At 42.0% G+C, this 15,935-nt stretch overlaps 1 protein-coding gene and 1 non-coding gene across 4 annotated transcripts in view, besides 2 other annotated features; both read left to right on the top strand.

Moving 5' to 3' along the window:
- Positions 1 to 15,935, top strand: part of RBMS1 (RNA binding motif single stranded interacting protein 1) — a 221,657-nt gene that overhangs the window by 84,910 nt on the left and 120,812 nt on the right. The gene's annotated exons all lie outside the window — the stretch shown is intronic.
- Positions 1,016 to 1,088, top strand: MIR4785 (microRNA 4785). Its single transcript, NR_039946.1, has one exon. It is a non-coding gene; the product is annotated as a microRNA 4785 (primary transcript).
- Positions 1,179 to 1,328: a silencer, noted in NCBI's record as "silent region_12049". NCBI's record gives its function as "represses an Ori minimal core promoter by ATAC-STARR-seq in GM12878 lymphoblastoid cells {active_cell/tissue: GM12878}" and the evidence as "EXISTENCE:reporter gene assay evidence [ECO:0000049][PMID:35858748]".
- Positions 1,579 to 1,668: a silencer, noted in NCBI's record as "silent region_12048". NCBI's record gives its function as "represses an Ori minimal core promoter by ATAC-STARR-seq in GM12878 lymphoblastoid cells {active_cell/tissue: GM12878}" and the evidence as "EXISTENCE:reporter gene assay evidence [ECO:0000049][PMID:35858748]".

The following is a 15,935-nucleotide window of genomic DNA, read 5'->3' as shown; positions in this document are numbered from 1 at the left end:
AAAGTCACCGTGGAACAGGCCAATGTGAAGGATGGCAAGCCCGTCCCAGTGGCTTATCCAGAGACCGCAGGCTCTGTCAGTCCGGGCTGCTGTGGAGGCCTTCTGCACTGCACAGGTTCGGGGCTTCATACGTCCACGGAAAGGTGGTCGAGAAAAGGGACGGCTTGAGCAGCCGTAGGTCATTTACATCGGGAAACAAAGGGAAGTCCCTCCTCCCTTTGTCTCTTTTTTGCCGAGTTTCTGTGTCCTAAGAAAACACATTTGTGTCGCATCTAATAATTAACATAAGGAAGGATTACACTGTTCCAGGTTTTAGGGAGAAAGGTTTACCAAACCGGTGGCCTTAAATGATTTTCGCTCCTTGATATTATCATCTTGAAGGAAAGCTGGTAAACTCTGGCTTAGGGATAAAACAAAACTTTACCGATCGTATTTGGGTGAGGGGCTGGGGAGTGGAGAGCTGTTTCCTCTGCTAAAATTTTAGCGTGTGAATCGGGGGATGGAGATTTGCAGAGGTTTGACGGGAGGGTCGTGTGTTCGTTGAAGTAGGGGTGATTGTCCACACCTTTTCTTGAAGAGTGGCGCGGGGGGCCTAGTTCGAAAGGTGAAGAAGAGAGGGAAGACCGAGGTGCCAGAGTGGTCCCCGAAGCGACGACCTTAAAAGGGGCTTCGAGCCGGGGTGCAAAGCTGCCGCTGGTGCTTAGGAAAGAACCGAGGGGGAAAAAGAACAGAGGAGGGGGGTTGGCTACTCCGAGGAATGTGCGGCATGCGGGGAGCCAGACCCAACCATTGCACCAGAGCGGGGGCGCCGGCTGCTCCCCGGGCCGCCCGGCCCCGGCTCCGGCCCCGATCCCGGGAGGGAGAGCGCGGGGGCCGGGCGGGCGATGGGGCGGCAGGCGCCGCGCCCAGCGGGCGGGCGGGGAGGCGCGGGTGGGCCTGGGCGCGGCGCGAGGCGGTGCGCTGCCGCCTCCCCGCCCCCGGCCGGCGCGCTCTCAGGGCGGTGGTTGAGGCCGCGGTAGGTGGGGACGCGGCGGCGCTGCTCCTCCGCTGCCGCCGGGAGAGTCGGCGACGCCGCCAGCTCCGCGCGCGAACTCCCGTCCATGGCACGCAGGGCGGCGGCTGCCCGAGCTGCTCGAGTCTCGCCCGCTGCCGCGCCGTACTTTTAGGCGAGTGCGGAGGTCGAAGGCGGAGGGGAAGTCAGCGCGGAGCTGCAGCCCCCGCCGGCCGCCGCCGCGCGGCGAGAGGGAGTTCCCAGAGCTGCCGCGGCCCCGGGCCCGGCCGGCCACCTCCTTGCGCCCTCCCCCTCGCGGCGAGGCTGCCCCGCGCCCGCGCCCGCGCCCGCACCCGCCGCCGCCGCCCGCAGCGATGATCTTCCCCAGCAGCAGTGGCAACCCCGGGGGCAGCAGCAACTGCCGGACGCCCTATCGCAAGCAGGTGAGGCGGCGGCCGGGATGCCGCGCCGAGGTCGGCGAGCCCCGCGTTACAAAGGGGGCCGCGCTCAGGGGCTCCGCGCCTCCTCGGAGGGACCGGCTGGGCGGTGACCTTGTTTCCCAGGAAGGCGGCCGCGGGGACTGCTCGGCCGGCGACCTGAGCAGGGGAGATGCCCTCGCCGCCGCCGCCCGGGCCGGGCAGGGTGGGAAGTGGAGGAAGGGGCAGGGGCAGGAGCGGAGAGCCGGCGAGGGCAGAAGCGCGCCGGGCCGGGGGCTTCACCCAGCTCTGCAACAAGTTTGGGTTTTTCCCAAAACCTTTGTGTGTAGCGGAGTGCGGTAATAAGTCGTCACGCTGGTGTGCAGTCTTCGCTAGGAACCTCAGAGAACCTGTCTGATTCGTAGGAAACCCGGAAGACGTGTGTCTGTGTGTGTGTGTCTGTGTCTCTGTGTGTGTCTGTGTGTTCGCGCGCGCCCCCCTCATTTAAAGAAAAAAAAAGAGAAAGAAACAGGAACTTCTACTGTCACTTTCTCAAGGTTTTCAGTAGCACAGGGAAATCCTGTGACATCCTAGTTGCAGAAGATACTTGGATATGCCTGAGTCATACACATGCTCTTTCCTATTTTAATACCGTTTCATACATTTTTTAACAGATTGAACTCGAAAGCCACTTCAGTGGTTAGATCACAATCCCCTGCTGGGAAAAGGAATGGAGCTGGGAGCTTATAGTTGAGGCCTTTTGTTTTTCATCTTTGTTTTTAAAAGAAGGTTACTGAAGCCATGTTGTGATACATCTCACAGAGCCTTTCAGCAGCAGCAATAACAAAACGTAGCTTTAAATTATCTAAAAAATGTGCAAGTCTGTTTAGAAAAGGTTAAATTGATTTAGAGGTCAGTGGCAAGATGCTTGTTGAGAAAACAAAAACAGGATTGCAGATATTTTTCCTCCATAATAAATCTCTTGTCTGCATCCTTAGCCACTGAGACAAATCAATTAAGTTATTATCCCAAAAAGGATGCAAGCGAACTGTAGCCTTCCATGCAGACCGTGGCTCTCTTAAGATCACGACCGATGGCAGTGATGCTTGGTGGCTTCCCTTTAGGTATTTACAGGATTATTGATTATGTTTAGGTCTTGTTGTCGTCAGAGTCATTCTTTTTTGTGTGTATGTCCTAGCGTAAGTGTATTTGCAAGTATTTTGGCAGTGTCGAAAAGAAATGTTTTCTGCCTTCTGGTCTTTGGTTCTTTTCTATGTTAACTTTTCTTTAAAGAGGCAGTAAACACACACCGTGGTCTGTGTGCCCTTGATGTGGAAGTCCATGGAACTTTTACCTGGGTTAAGAAGTTCTTTCCTTTAATTAATTAAATAAATAAAATCTGCATTTATGACTCGGCTGAAGGATATGCTAAGATAGTCAAGATTCAGAAGCAGGCATCTCGAAGTCATTTCATGTGGCTTCATTTAAAAGAAATGCTCTCGGATCCAGTACACTTACATCAACTTCATAAATGCAGCCAATTTACAATAAACATTCCCCTTGCAACCCCTCCTCCCCCACCCACCTCACTCTACCTGAAAAGATGGCTAATTATGTTAGGGCCTTGTGTATTCATTTATTTGTTGTCAAAACCCGGCGGGGTGTTAGCTCTGAAATGGGGAAAAGGCTCTGAGGGCGAGGCCTTTGGCTGTGAGGGGCTGGAGGTTTTGTGTGTGAAGGGGGGTAGCCTGCTGGTCTGGAGCACGCTGATAAGATGCTCTTCTTTTCACAGGGCTCTCCTTAGATTCAAAGACTAAAAGGGCTGACTGAATCAGAAAAACAAACAGACTTTCTTTTTTCTATAGGCAAAGAAAGAAATGAATGTGTAGGCATTATACAGACACAAGACCCCGGGTACCAGTGGTATTTGAGTCAAAGGTTTCTTTTGTTAGTATTTAGCCATTCACTGGGAAAGCACACTTCCAGCGCGGGGACCTGGTTACCATGAGTGACTTTGTGATCTCATCCTGGCTTAGCCTAAATGGGAAGTCTAATTAATGCTTTTTATAAGATTTTGTGATGTTAAGCTTCAACCTTGCAGTTCATATTAGTTTGTTCATTTTGATGAAAGAATTGGCAGATTTTAGGTATATGATGCAGTTTGATTTTAGTCTAGAAATACATAATCAGCTGTTAGAGCTGATCTCAGCTAATTTGCCAGAAAAAAAAAAAATGGAATGTAAGGAATACTTTACAGTCACCTTTGGAAAAAACACCGTAATGGTTTGGAATCACACTTGCATTATACATACATAGTAGTAGTAGCTAACTTTCATTGAGTACTTCACTACCTGCTGATTGCTGTTCTGAATGTTTTTGGCAGATTAACTCATTTAGTCATCTTAAAAGCCCTGTGAGGCAGGCAATATTTGTATATCCATTTTACAATTAAGAACACTGAGGCATAGATTAAGCAAATTGCCCAAAGTCTATTCAACTCAAAGTGCAGAGCCAGGATTTGAACCCTGACAATCACTCCCTTCCAAGCCACCACACTACGGCTGCCTGCCTACATGTACTGCTCAATAGCAACCCATAGAGAACTTATCTGCATCATAGCCCATCACCCTTCTAATCTCAGAAGTCCAGTTTAGGGATTCCTCCCACCTTTTTGGGGAGGGAGAACTTGTGAGCTAGGAGGTGAATGATGAAGCAAATGGATGATACAGATGGTAAGTTTGTGATGTTTGGAAGCAGCATTGATATAAAAATGTGGCTGTACTGAATGATTGTACAACTCTTAAAGCTTTCTACATTTTACATATACAGTCATCTCTCAGCATCCGAGGAAGATTGGTTCCAGGATGGCTCAAGGTCCTGATATAAAATTGCGTAGTATTTGTATATAACCTATGTACATCTTCTCGTATTCTTTAATCTCTAGATTACTTATAATACCTGATACTATGTAGATGCTATGTAAATAATTGTTATACTGTATTATTTTCAAATTGTTTTATTGCTATTTTTATTGCTTTTCCCTGAAATATTTTTAATCCACAGTAGGCGGATGCAGAACCTCTTTATACGGAGGGTCGACTGTGTAGGAGTGAGCTAGTTTCAGTTAAAGCAGCGGTGGTTGGTACTCATCTCTCACCTGCCCCCACGTAGTGTAGCTAGGGCATCAGGGAGTACTGATCTCTGGCATCATCTGGGATCAACAGGATTTTCCTGCCTCACAGGCCTGTGAGCACATTAGAAATACACCTGCTCAGCTCAAGTCAAAGTGAGAAGCTTTTGAATGGAGTGATAACCGAGTAGGCAGTATCTAAATAAAGATGATTGGTTCAAGTCTCAGTGGACAAATGTGTACGTTCTATTACTGTTGACTGTGACTTTGAAGTATATGGTGTTCATTAAGCAAATCCAATCTGATCGTATGAAAAGAGCACCCCAAAAACCAAAATGAAACCATTTATCAGGACTTTTGTAGCTATGAAAATATTTTAGTGTGTTTTGAAACAAAAAAAGTGATTTATACTCAAAGGCTTTTAGATATAGAAAATTGGTATTTTCATTTTTCCTTTGTGTTGTTTCTTGAATTCTTTTATTAGCTACTCCTCTTCCTGTTTCCTTCCATTTTGGAACTGCTTTCTTGAGGTAGCTAAGTTACAAACCAACCATACTTTGGTTTCTGCACATCGTGGCATGTAGGAAGGCCTTTTTTGCTAAGCAGTATGTTGTCCTAGTGGTTTCCAGTAGGGTTTTGGAGGTAGGGGAGTGAATGCAAAATTTTTCTGCATGTGTGTATGTGTGTGTTTATATCTGTGTGTGTTTAATGGTCTTGCCCTCCAATAGTTGTACTTGTTAAATGTTGCTAACTTTTGATGAGGGAAGTACTTATCTTCCCAGTTTAAGTAGATTTACATAGTTTACTGCCTTCTTCAAGATTAACTGGGTGTAGCTGCACGTGAGGAATTCAACAGTGATTCAGTGTTTGGCCTTGTTTAGAGGATGACATACAAAGCTGTTGATTAATCCTCTTCAGGCAGTTTCTGTTCACAGCAATTTGTGTTTAGTAGATTGGGTTTTGTTAAAGTTTGAAGATTAAACTTGTGCATAGAAGATATTTAAATGAACACTGCCTGAAACAGTCCCAATTTGTTGTTGTTTTAAAGAAAGTAAACGTCTTCAAGCTACAGAGATTGGAGGTTTAGTGGAGAGTAGCAGAAAGGTAAATTGGTATGTATAAGTAAGGTATTGGCCCATTTTTATGTTATGTTATCTCTGTGTATTTGTGGTCAGGTAGGATCTATGAGTCATGATGATGATATTTTAAAATCTACCCATACATAGCCATTTGAAAACTGTACAATTCATCGTGATTGTCCACTTTTTCTACTAGGGACCGTTTTGGCATCTCATTACATGTTCCATAGTTCACTTCAGGTTTTGAACATACTTCTAGTTTTTTACTTTTCCTTATTTTTAGAGATTACTGTCAACTGGGCTCACCATATATTAGTACTTTTATTTTTGAGACCTTTCTTAGGAGGGTAAGAGTCTATCTGATCCAGGTTTCTGAGAATATATTTATAAAGTACTCACCCAATAAATAAATATTTTAAGGATGTATAAACCTCAGTCATATTTAATCTTCATAGCATCCATATAGAGAAGGTCTGGAGTTTTGAGGCAGTGACATCTTAAGTGGCCTACATGGTGAAAGCTAGGTCCCTGGAGTCAAGGGCTGTGTCTGCTACTAGGAAAAAGAAAGCCCGTCAAGAACAGCTGTGGCCTCACTACACTTCCCTTTACTTGGCCTCCCAAAGACATGTGGCCCACAGTGTCCAGATTTCAGATGTGGGAATTGTAGCTCTTGAATGTATTAGTGTTTTTTTGTTTGTTTTATAAAGGCTTTCACAGATGACATACTAGACACTGAGTTAAATTTGAATTTCAGATAAACAGTGAATAATTTTTTAGTATAAGTATGTCCCAGATTTTCATCACACTGCATTTTTGAATTTGCTAAATCTAGCAGCCCTCTCTCAGGGAAATCCAATTCGCTTTTTAAAACTCATTATAAAAAAAATCATGATAATAAGACATACTATTACTTTTTCCACTGAAAAGTTTGCCCCTTAGCATATTCCTTAGGCCCTGATAACGCACGTTTCACATTTTACCTCCTTGAACCATTTGGTCCATGCTTCCGCCTGCACTCTACCTAATTGAAAGACTATGGCTTAAGTTGTGGCTCTACCATTTGCATGCTTTTTCACTTAACCTCCCTAAGTCTGAGTTTCTGCTAAGTAAAGATAATAGTGCCCACTTCACAGGGTAGTTGTTAATCCTTCTAAGGTGCTATTATTAATGTCCCCACAGAGCAAGCAACAGCGGGTGGTCCTAGGAGACTTCTGTGTGGTCTAGGGAGACCTTGACACAGTCGCCTAAGAATGGACCGTGTTTACAGCCTCTAAGAATGGACTGTGTTTAGAATGAGGGGCAGCCTGAAAAAGGGTAAGGACCTGAGGTTGAAAATGAAATTCTCAACCACATTTTTTTAAAAAAAGAAAGTACCAAGAAGTAGAAAAGTGGATCCCACCATATTTTTAAACAGTTGGTCATGGTTTATGCCCTCGATAGCAGAATTTGCTTCCTCTCTGGGGAAGACTTTCAATCCTTTCTTCTTTATTTCATGCAAATATATTAGGAAGGTAAAAAGAGCATTGATCATTCTTATCAGTGAAAAATGCTACTTTTTAATTTGCTGGAAAACAGGTTTGATTATTAGTATATGCACAATTATTTCCTGAATTCTTTCCTTTGTCTTGTTTGTGTATTTGATTTTCAAAGATATCGTCTTTGCATTACTCAGAAAAATAAACATTTTTTTTGTCCTTGGACATCTGTAGGTGTTTAGTGGGTGTTTGTTTTTAAACTCGCATCTGTACAGAATGCTTTGCTTAACACATTCTAAAATCTTGGTGTAAACTTTAAAATAGTATAGAACACACTGTGAGGAAAGGAAGAAAGCATTTCCTGGAATTAGGATAAGGTGAAAGAATTAAATGGAGCAAATGAAATCCTGGACTAAAATAAAAAATCAATATAACTGTTGGGACTTAACACTTAATATAACGACAGCAGCAGCAAGAAACTTGGTGTTACACAGAACAGTACCCTAATACATAGAAATCTATGTTGGCTCCACTTTATTCATTTAAACATATGGAATTTCATAACAGTGTAATGTAAACTAGAGAAGATTATCTTTTGTTTGTCAATTGTATATGCAATACAATCTCAAAAATGTATTTTTAAAAACTGGAAGGAAATATGCCAAAATATTAACAAATGGCTTCCTCTGCTATAGAATCACAAATGACTGTTTTTTATGATCCTTTACATTTTTTTCAACCATCCAGTCTCTCTTGTCCCCCACAATGAGCATGCAGTCCTTTGGCTATCAAGAAAAAGACAGTGAAAAAACAAAACAAAACGAAACCTAGAAAATTGTATTTTTTAAATGTCTCAAAATTGTGGTGAAATTGCAAAGAATTCATTTTGAGAATTTCAATCACGCATGAAGGTACTGCTTGTTTCTAATGCCTGAGTTTTGAGGGGTGGTCCTTTCCTATTCTTTATGTATTATTTTTGTTTCCTGCAAACTCCTGTCCTACCTTTTTAGAAATCACTTGTTTCTGACAGATACTTTTTAACTTAATAACTTAAAATTTTCCTATTTTTTATACATATTTTAAATATGCCTTCTGTACTTTTTGAAACATTTTTAAGGCACAAATTTATGTACATGAGTTAGTGAGGGGGAAACGTAGCTATATATATGAAATTTCATATTCTAGATTACTTTTCAGGAGAGTAGCTGTTCTAAATATTCTAAATATAGAGGCATTATCACAATCACCTGTTTTCATTTGACTTACAGCTGTTTTGTGGACAGATAAATTTTCTCCACATTTAATTTCTGTATTAAATGTGACAAGCCAAGACTGTCCTACCTATGTTGGAATCCTTTGGGTTTATTTTATTATGAATACATATGATTGTCTTCATTGCAAACTTGCTTTTTGGCTCTTAGCTTCTTTTTTTTTTTTCCTCATATATATGTTTGTATTTTTCATTTTGTTTCTTTCGTTTTTTAAATTTAATTTAATTTAATTTCCAGTTCCGAGATACATGTGCAAGCTTTTCCCTTTTTGAAAGGGCCGTGCAGTGGGAGGTGTGGCTTCTTTAGAGGTTTCTTTAATGTATAATGGAAGAGTAAGGATTTCTGTAAGAAGTACAAGGTACAGATAATGTCAGCATTGTAGAAGCAGCTGTTAGTGTATAACCCAGGGGAGTTTTCAGTGTGTCTGGGGAGTTTTAGGTGTGCACTGCAGAGGCTGCAAAGCTCCAGAGCAAGATGGGGAGGAGCAGGGAGTGCTGAAGAGAGGGAAGGGGAAGTAGGGGCTAAGAGAGAAGAAAGCACTCTTACCTTGTTTGTTTCTTACTTTGCTAGTTGATGTATCACTTTGCAAAATTGGTTCCAGTCTCATTGTTTTGGTGCTGTGTAGGTTGGGAGCAAATATGTAGCCTCATTGTTTTGAATTGTCTTAGATTCTTAAATCTCCCCCTTTTTTTCTTAGTTATCGGTCCTATCGTCCAGCATTTTCTTTCTCTGTTCTAAGACAAAATCTCTTTGTCTCTCTCCTCTTTGGAGAACTGCCTATAAATCCTTTTTGGAAGACCATTTGTGATCAACCCAACCCTGCCAATTCAGATATTCTAGAAAGTACTTTGGCTCTATTTTGTATTCTCAGTTTTATATGTTAAATGTATCAGACCAATTCTAAGACAGTGAATAGTTCTTTTGTTTAAACTGAAAGTTTAAGAGGGGCTCAGAAACATTGAGTTATAATTAATTGAGTTGTAGGTGTAAGTGATTTAAAAAAAAAAAAAGCATACAGGAATCTTTGCGAAGTAAACTGGTGGCATGCAGGAGATAATACTGGTGCACATTAGGGGAGAAACTGGGCAGGGAAACCAGCTAGCTAGTTGTTAAAACTGCTGAGAGCTAGTGAGGACCCAAAAGAAGTCAGTTAAATTGTAGGCAGGAGGAGTGACCAAATTTTATAGATACTGAAATACAGGAAGCCCTTAAAATTGTATGCAAAATGTGCATACATTGGCTGTTTCTTTGGTAGAGATTCATAGCTTTCATCCATTTGTCAGAGGGATCTGTGTCCTCCAAAAGTTCTCGTGACTGCATTTGGAAGGAGAGGGAGAAGAACTTGAACAAAATTTCTAACTCAGGAGACAGGATAATTGGTTGCATCATGGAAGGCGACATTTCAGGTAAAAAGAACATTGATTCAGCAAAGATTTGAAGATAGAAAACATGGGCTTTATCAGGGAAGTAGTGGGTAGTTCAGGTTAGGTTGACTGCAGGGTAGAGTTTGAAGAACAGAGGTCAATAGGAGCAAGCTTGCTAAAATGGGTGAGAGCAGAGCCTGAGTTTAGAAGGTATTGTCTCAGTTGAAATAAAGATGTAAAATGTGGCAGTGTGAATGTATTAAATAGAATGGATTCAAGATATTGTGTAGAAAGAATTGACAAGATTTGGCTGGTGACTGGCTGGATGGGGAGGGGAAGGTCTCGGGAATAGACCATCGTAGGCTTCTAGTCGTAAATGATTGGGAAAATGAAAAGTTACTGCAACCTTTTTTGCTCTGGGGCTCAGTGATGAGGAAAAACCCAGCCTTTCTATTACAAGGATTTTCCACATCATCATCATCATTATTATTATTACTGTTATTATTTTGCTATTAAAATAAATTGGAGAGGGATTGTTGAATTCTGATACTGGTGTCCAGACACCAGGGATACTTAATATCCTGCAGTGTCCAGCTCAGTTTCTCATAAGGAAGAATCGTCCAGCCTAAATGGCTAATCACACACCCCTAGTGAAAACCACTTTAAGAAGTTATTTTGGTTGGGGAGATGGTTGTAAGCATTTCTTTACCACTCCCTTGAGATTACCTTGAAGTCAGAGTAGAAGCTGCCTCACATGTCTGCATGGATTTTCGTGTTTGTCCTGGATCTTCTCAAACACATTGTTATATGGCAAATTTCATTCTTGGTAATATACGTCATTCATAATTATACAGTCACCTTTAATATCTATAGTCTAACAAGTACATTGGTTATATTAAAACATCTCCCACCTCAAAGGAATATGGAAGATGGGCAGATATAGTGGTGAGTGGTTTAGAGTATTCAGCCTACCAAAATAAGAGTTTCTGGGGGAAAGGCAGTGAGTTTGGTTTGGCCATTTTAACTTGTCCACATGAATTACACATTATTCTTCCCACTTGCCATCCCAGGCAGAAATTTCTAGCAAGCAGTTAGAGAACCGGAGCTCTGGGGAAGAAGCACAGAAACTTCTCAGATTTAATAGGTGGAGCATTGGGAATGGATTAAAGCACTCCGAGGAGAGAATGTGTCAAGACAAGAGATGGGACAGACTTCGGGGAGCACAGATTCTATATTGGGCAGGAGTAGGGGGGAGCCTTAGGCAAAGTAGGAGGAAAGAAGTGGCACAAAACTGAGAGAATCCGGAGAGTGTCACAGAAGCCAAGGAGAACAAAGTTTTAAGAAGAGGTGGTCAGCTCCATTAAATGTTGCCAAGAGGTCAAGAAAGACAAAAGCCTAGTAAAGGGCCATTGGAAATACCCATTGGGAGGTCTTTGTAAACTTTTAAAACAGAAGTCTCAGTGGAGTCCTGTGTGTGTAGTGGGGCGGGAAAGGAGGGTGGAGGCAGGGGTGAGGGAAGCACATTCCAAAGGGTTTAAAGAGTGAATGAATGAAGAGGGTGTGTCTTTAGGAAAGTCAGACGCCAAAGAGAGTTTTTTTCCTGAAAATTTCAAGTGACAGCCTAGAGACAAGATTATTTCAGCATCTGTGTTTGTAGGTAAAGCAAGGTGCTAGAAAAAAGAGGGAATATTTGGAAATAGGGCTTACTTTTATGAAAGGTTGAGGCAGGATTAGTCTTACAGGAAAGGGCTCCTCAGAAGTCTTCCTGACAGTGATTACAGGAAGGAGAAAATGGGTTATGCTAGAGAAGGCAGGAAGGCCAGTGAAGCTCACCTTTTTATGAAAGCTTAGGATTCAGTAAGGAGGCGAGGTTGTCTGTTCAGATTCTATAAAATAAAAAAGATGGGATTTTCAGTTTAAGGAGTATGACAAAAGATTTGGAATAATGCTCTTGGGAATTTGGTGAGCATTCAAACAGAAATGAGTGCAAGGATGACTCAAGCAGTAGTAAGGAGCCATGGGAGTTCAGAGGTACGAGTTGGCATGGTATCCTGACCCTCCACGAGCAATAAGTAAGGGAAAGCATCTGGATAATGGGTTTATATAGGGTTTGACATTGGTAAGATGAGTATGCTCTGAAAATTGAGAGCACTGTTCCAAAGGCTAAGGAAACGTGAAATCAAGAAAGACAATGAGCTTTTGGTATAGGGTGGGGCATGGAGATTCTGATAAGATCCTTCCGCCTAGGGGAAAGTCCCCGGACCTCGGTCAGAGAGTGCCACGTGCATGCGCAGGTAGACATTCCCTACGGCTGGGCGCGGTGGCTCACGCCTGTAATCCCAGCACTTTGGGAGTCCGAGGTGGGCGGATTACGAGGTCAGGAGTTCGAGACCAGCCTGACCAACATGGTGAAACCCCGTCTCTACTAAAAATACAAAAATCAGCCGGGCTTGGTGGCGCCTGCCTGTATCCCAGCCACTCAGGAGGCTGAGGCAGGAGAATTGCTTGAACCCGGGAGGCGGAGGTTGCAGTGAGCTGAGATGGTGCCACTGTACTCCAGCCTAGGCAACAGAGTGAGACTTCCTTCATCTCAAAAAAAAAAAAAAAAAAAAAAAAAAAAAGATAAAAAGAAAAGTCCCTGGGAGAGAGAGGTGAAACAGGCTGCTTCAGAGAGGAAGTTCTGAGGTAAAAGCCTTGAAGGTAGAATAGTCCTGGGATCCTTCCTTGTGGAGTTGTTTGGAGGATTAAATGAGATAGTACATATGGGTCTGTCTGGCACCTAGTAAGAACTGAGGTGGTTGTAATTATTAAGATGAAGTTCTTGTATAAATTACACCTCCCTCTAACTACTGTTGTAATATTTGTGTAAATCAAATCATATTTCAAACAGATTCCACAAACCATGAAACACAAACCAAAATAAAGTGTTAATTTTTTTCAACTGAACCACATGGCCAACGTCCATTTAAAAAAATTTCACTATCAAACCATTTCAAAACACAGGTTGCTTTTAAAGAAAAAAAGTTGGACATTGGTGTGGATCCCAGCTCTTATCACTCGAAGGGACATTTCTTAAACTTTCTGGGTCTTAATTTCCTTGGCAGCAAAACCAGGGGTAATAGTTACTCAGTGTTATTGAGATGATTACATGACATCATCTGGGTGACAGCACGTGGCACATTACCTGGCACAGGTACTCTGGATGCTTCCCTCCTTCCTTGGGGTGTCTCCTAACAGGTCAGTTTGTATACAAAAGAGGATTTTGGAGGAAGGGTCAAGGAAAGCCTACGGTTATAATCGTGGAAGAAAATTGTGATCATTCTGTTCACTAGCCGAAAATCCTTGTGATGAGAAAGACTTGTGAGGATTATTATATTTGTCCTTGCTTCTCAGGGTTAAGGGTCAAAAGAGTTAATGTAAGATAAAGTGCTTTATGATATGTAAACACTATGGAGATGTTATTACAGTTTCTGAAATAGATGCCCTCGACTATTATGTGAGCATTTTCCTTCTTTCAGCATCTGATTTTTTTTTTTTTTTTTTTTTTTGAGACGGAGTCTCGCTGTGTCACCCAGGCTGGAGTGCAGTGGCGCGATCTCAGCTCACTGCAAGCTCCGCCTCCCGGGTTCACGCCATTCTCCTGCCTCAGCCTCCCAAGTAGCTAGGACTGCAGGCGCCCGCCACCACGCCCGGCTAATTTTTTGTATTTTTAGTAGAGACGGGGTTTCACCGTGTTAGCCAGGATGGTCTCGATCTCCTGACCGCGTGATCTGCCCGCCTCGGCCTCCCAAAGTGCTGGGATTACAGGCGTGAGCCACTGCGCCCGGCCTTCAGCATCTGATTTTAAATTCAGAAGTTTATTGTTCAAAGCTGCTTTCCTTAATTGTGCTTACTAAGATACACGGATTCTATTAAAGGTTGAAAGTGTTCAAGGAATTAAAATACTCATTTTACAAAGAAACTTCGGAAACACTACATACTATGTAGTATTGTCCAGGAGAGTAAAAGTGTAAATTAGCAGTAAAAAGTCTTCAAGAAGTCCTACAGTGGAGATATTTGTCTGACTTCATGATTTGTTTTCCTAGAATTACTTGATCATGGAATAATTTAGTTTTAGAATATTTACTAATTGTGTTCTTGGAACAGTTTGGGAACCACTTATTTAAAAGAAGCTTTTGCATTTTAGTGTTGGAAAGGACATTAGAGATTATCGGGTTCAACCCCTTTAATTTACTCCTAAATAATTAAAATCCAGAAACATTGAGTGATTTGTTTAAATTCTCACAGCTTGAAAAGCTGGATCTTCTGACTTTTACTTAGTGCTTCACCATCCTACCTTAAAATCTTTGTTTTTCTAAGTATGGCACACACTTGCACTAATGTTTTTCTAATGAATGTTAAAGAGTGTATCTTTTTAAAAAATCATTGATAGAACTTCAGAATTGCTTTTATGTGAGGTTTAAAAAGTCATTCTCTGAACAGAGTAGGCCTTTAGCAATAGTAAGTTGCATGTTAACTTCAGGCAAAATAAACTAGTATCTGCCAACTCTCATTTCTTTTTTTGCTTTTAATTTCTCCTCTGTTAAGGTCAGTTTTTCCACCTGTTTTATTGCTTTTTAAAGCATTTACAAAGTCAAGAAAGCTGACTTGAGAAATCAATCTAGTTTAAAATGTCAGTGATCTGGAAAACTCACACATTCTAATAATGAATATTCTTTTGTCCTCTAAATTTGTTTTGTCTTTCTCATATAATTGGCTGTGGGTAGAAAAATTTGCATACTTTCAGTCCCTTCCTGCCTGACTTATTACAGCATGCAGAATTTACTCTGTGGTTTCTAGGTGTAAGTTCCTGTATAGAAGAAACCACAGTTAGGACTTTACAACCCTACTGTGGAGAAGGCTCGTCTGTGAGGAACACACTGCTGTGTGTTCTTGAAAATTCTGAATGGCCACTTGATCATCCTTTGTTATAATAGGTAATCTAGACTAAATTGTTCACTTGTACCATCTAAAAAAAAATCTATATTAAGGTTCTTAGTTGCATAGTCCAACGAAAAGTGGGTGGAAGTCTGTCGGTCTCCCTCACCAACTGTTTCTGGTGTCTACAACATGAAATTTTATCCTGAATGAATTCTGCGATGTGATACTAGTGTTTCGGATGAAGTGATCTGAAGGAATGTTCAGTATATAATGTGTTATTACAAAAGAAGTGTAGTATACTAGGCCAAAAGGACCCAGAGATGAGCTTTTCCCAGTACTTATTTTAGAGGTGAGGACATCGCATAGCTTATTTGTAACAAAACCAGGACTAGAACCCAGAGATCCTGACTGCCAGTGAAGCTTGGCTATTTTCTTTTTTTTTCTTTTTCTTGTTTTCTTTTCTTTTTTTTTTTTTGGAGATGGAGTCTCTCTTGTTGTCCAGGCTGGAGTGCAATGGCGTGATCTCAGCTCATCACAGCCTCCGCCTCCCAGATTCAAGTGCGTCTCCTGCCTCAGCCTCCCGAGTAGCTGGGATTACAGACATGTGCCACCACACCCGGCTAATTTTGTATTTTTAGTGGAGACGAAGTTTCTCTTTGTTGGTCAGGCTGGTCTCAAACTCCCGACCTCGGTGCTCTGCCCGCCTCGGCCTCCCAAAGTTGCTAGGATTACAGGTGTGAGCCACCGCGCCCGGCCAGCTTGGCCATTTTCAACCAAATTCAGCTTGGATTATCATTCATTCAGTCAATATTTTAGAGTACATTATGGGCCAAGAACTGTGTTAGGCCCTGAGGGCAATAACAAATTAGTAATCCTGTTGTCAACCTTACAGTCTAAGAGAGAGTATGGAGCAAGTGTATAAATAACTATATAAGTTAGAAATTAGTGCCATAAGAGCTTCAGATATTTAAGAAATGCCTAGTAAGAACATGTCTGATTTGCAGCTGACATGCTACAGTTTACCTGAATTTTGACCATTTTTCTTCCAGGTGCATTTGATTTGTTTCCTGTATAGAAACAGAGTTCTCAATGGGCTGTTTTGTGTTGATTGTCACCTTAGAGTTAGTCTACCCTTTAACTGACTCTATGAAACTGCTTATTAGGATACTAAATTAGAATAGGGAAAAAAAGGAAATATATCTTCCATGTTCTTGACATCAATTCATTGCCGAGTTTGGTTTTATCTCTTTAAAAGGGGTGCAGAAAAACTGGCGAGCATTAAGAGAAAT

The sequence above is a fragment of the Homo sapiens genome, chromosome 2 (genome assembly GCF_000001405.40).
Source record: "Homo sapiens chromosome 2, GRCh38.p14 Primary Assembly".
NCBI classification, from domain to species: Eukaryota; Metazoa; Chordata; class Mammalia; order Primates; family Hominidae; genus Homo; species Homo sapiens.
Note: the sequence above shows the minus strand (reverse complement) of the source record. Positions and strands in the feature narration are given on the sequence as shown.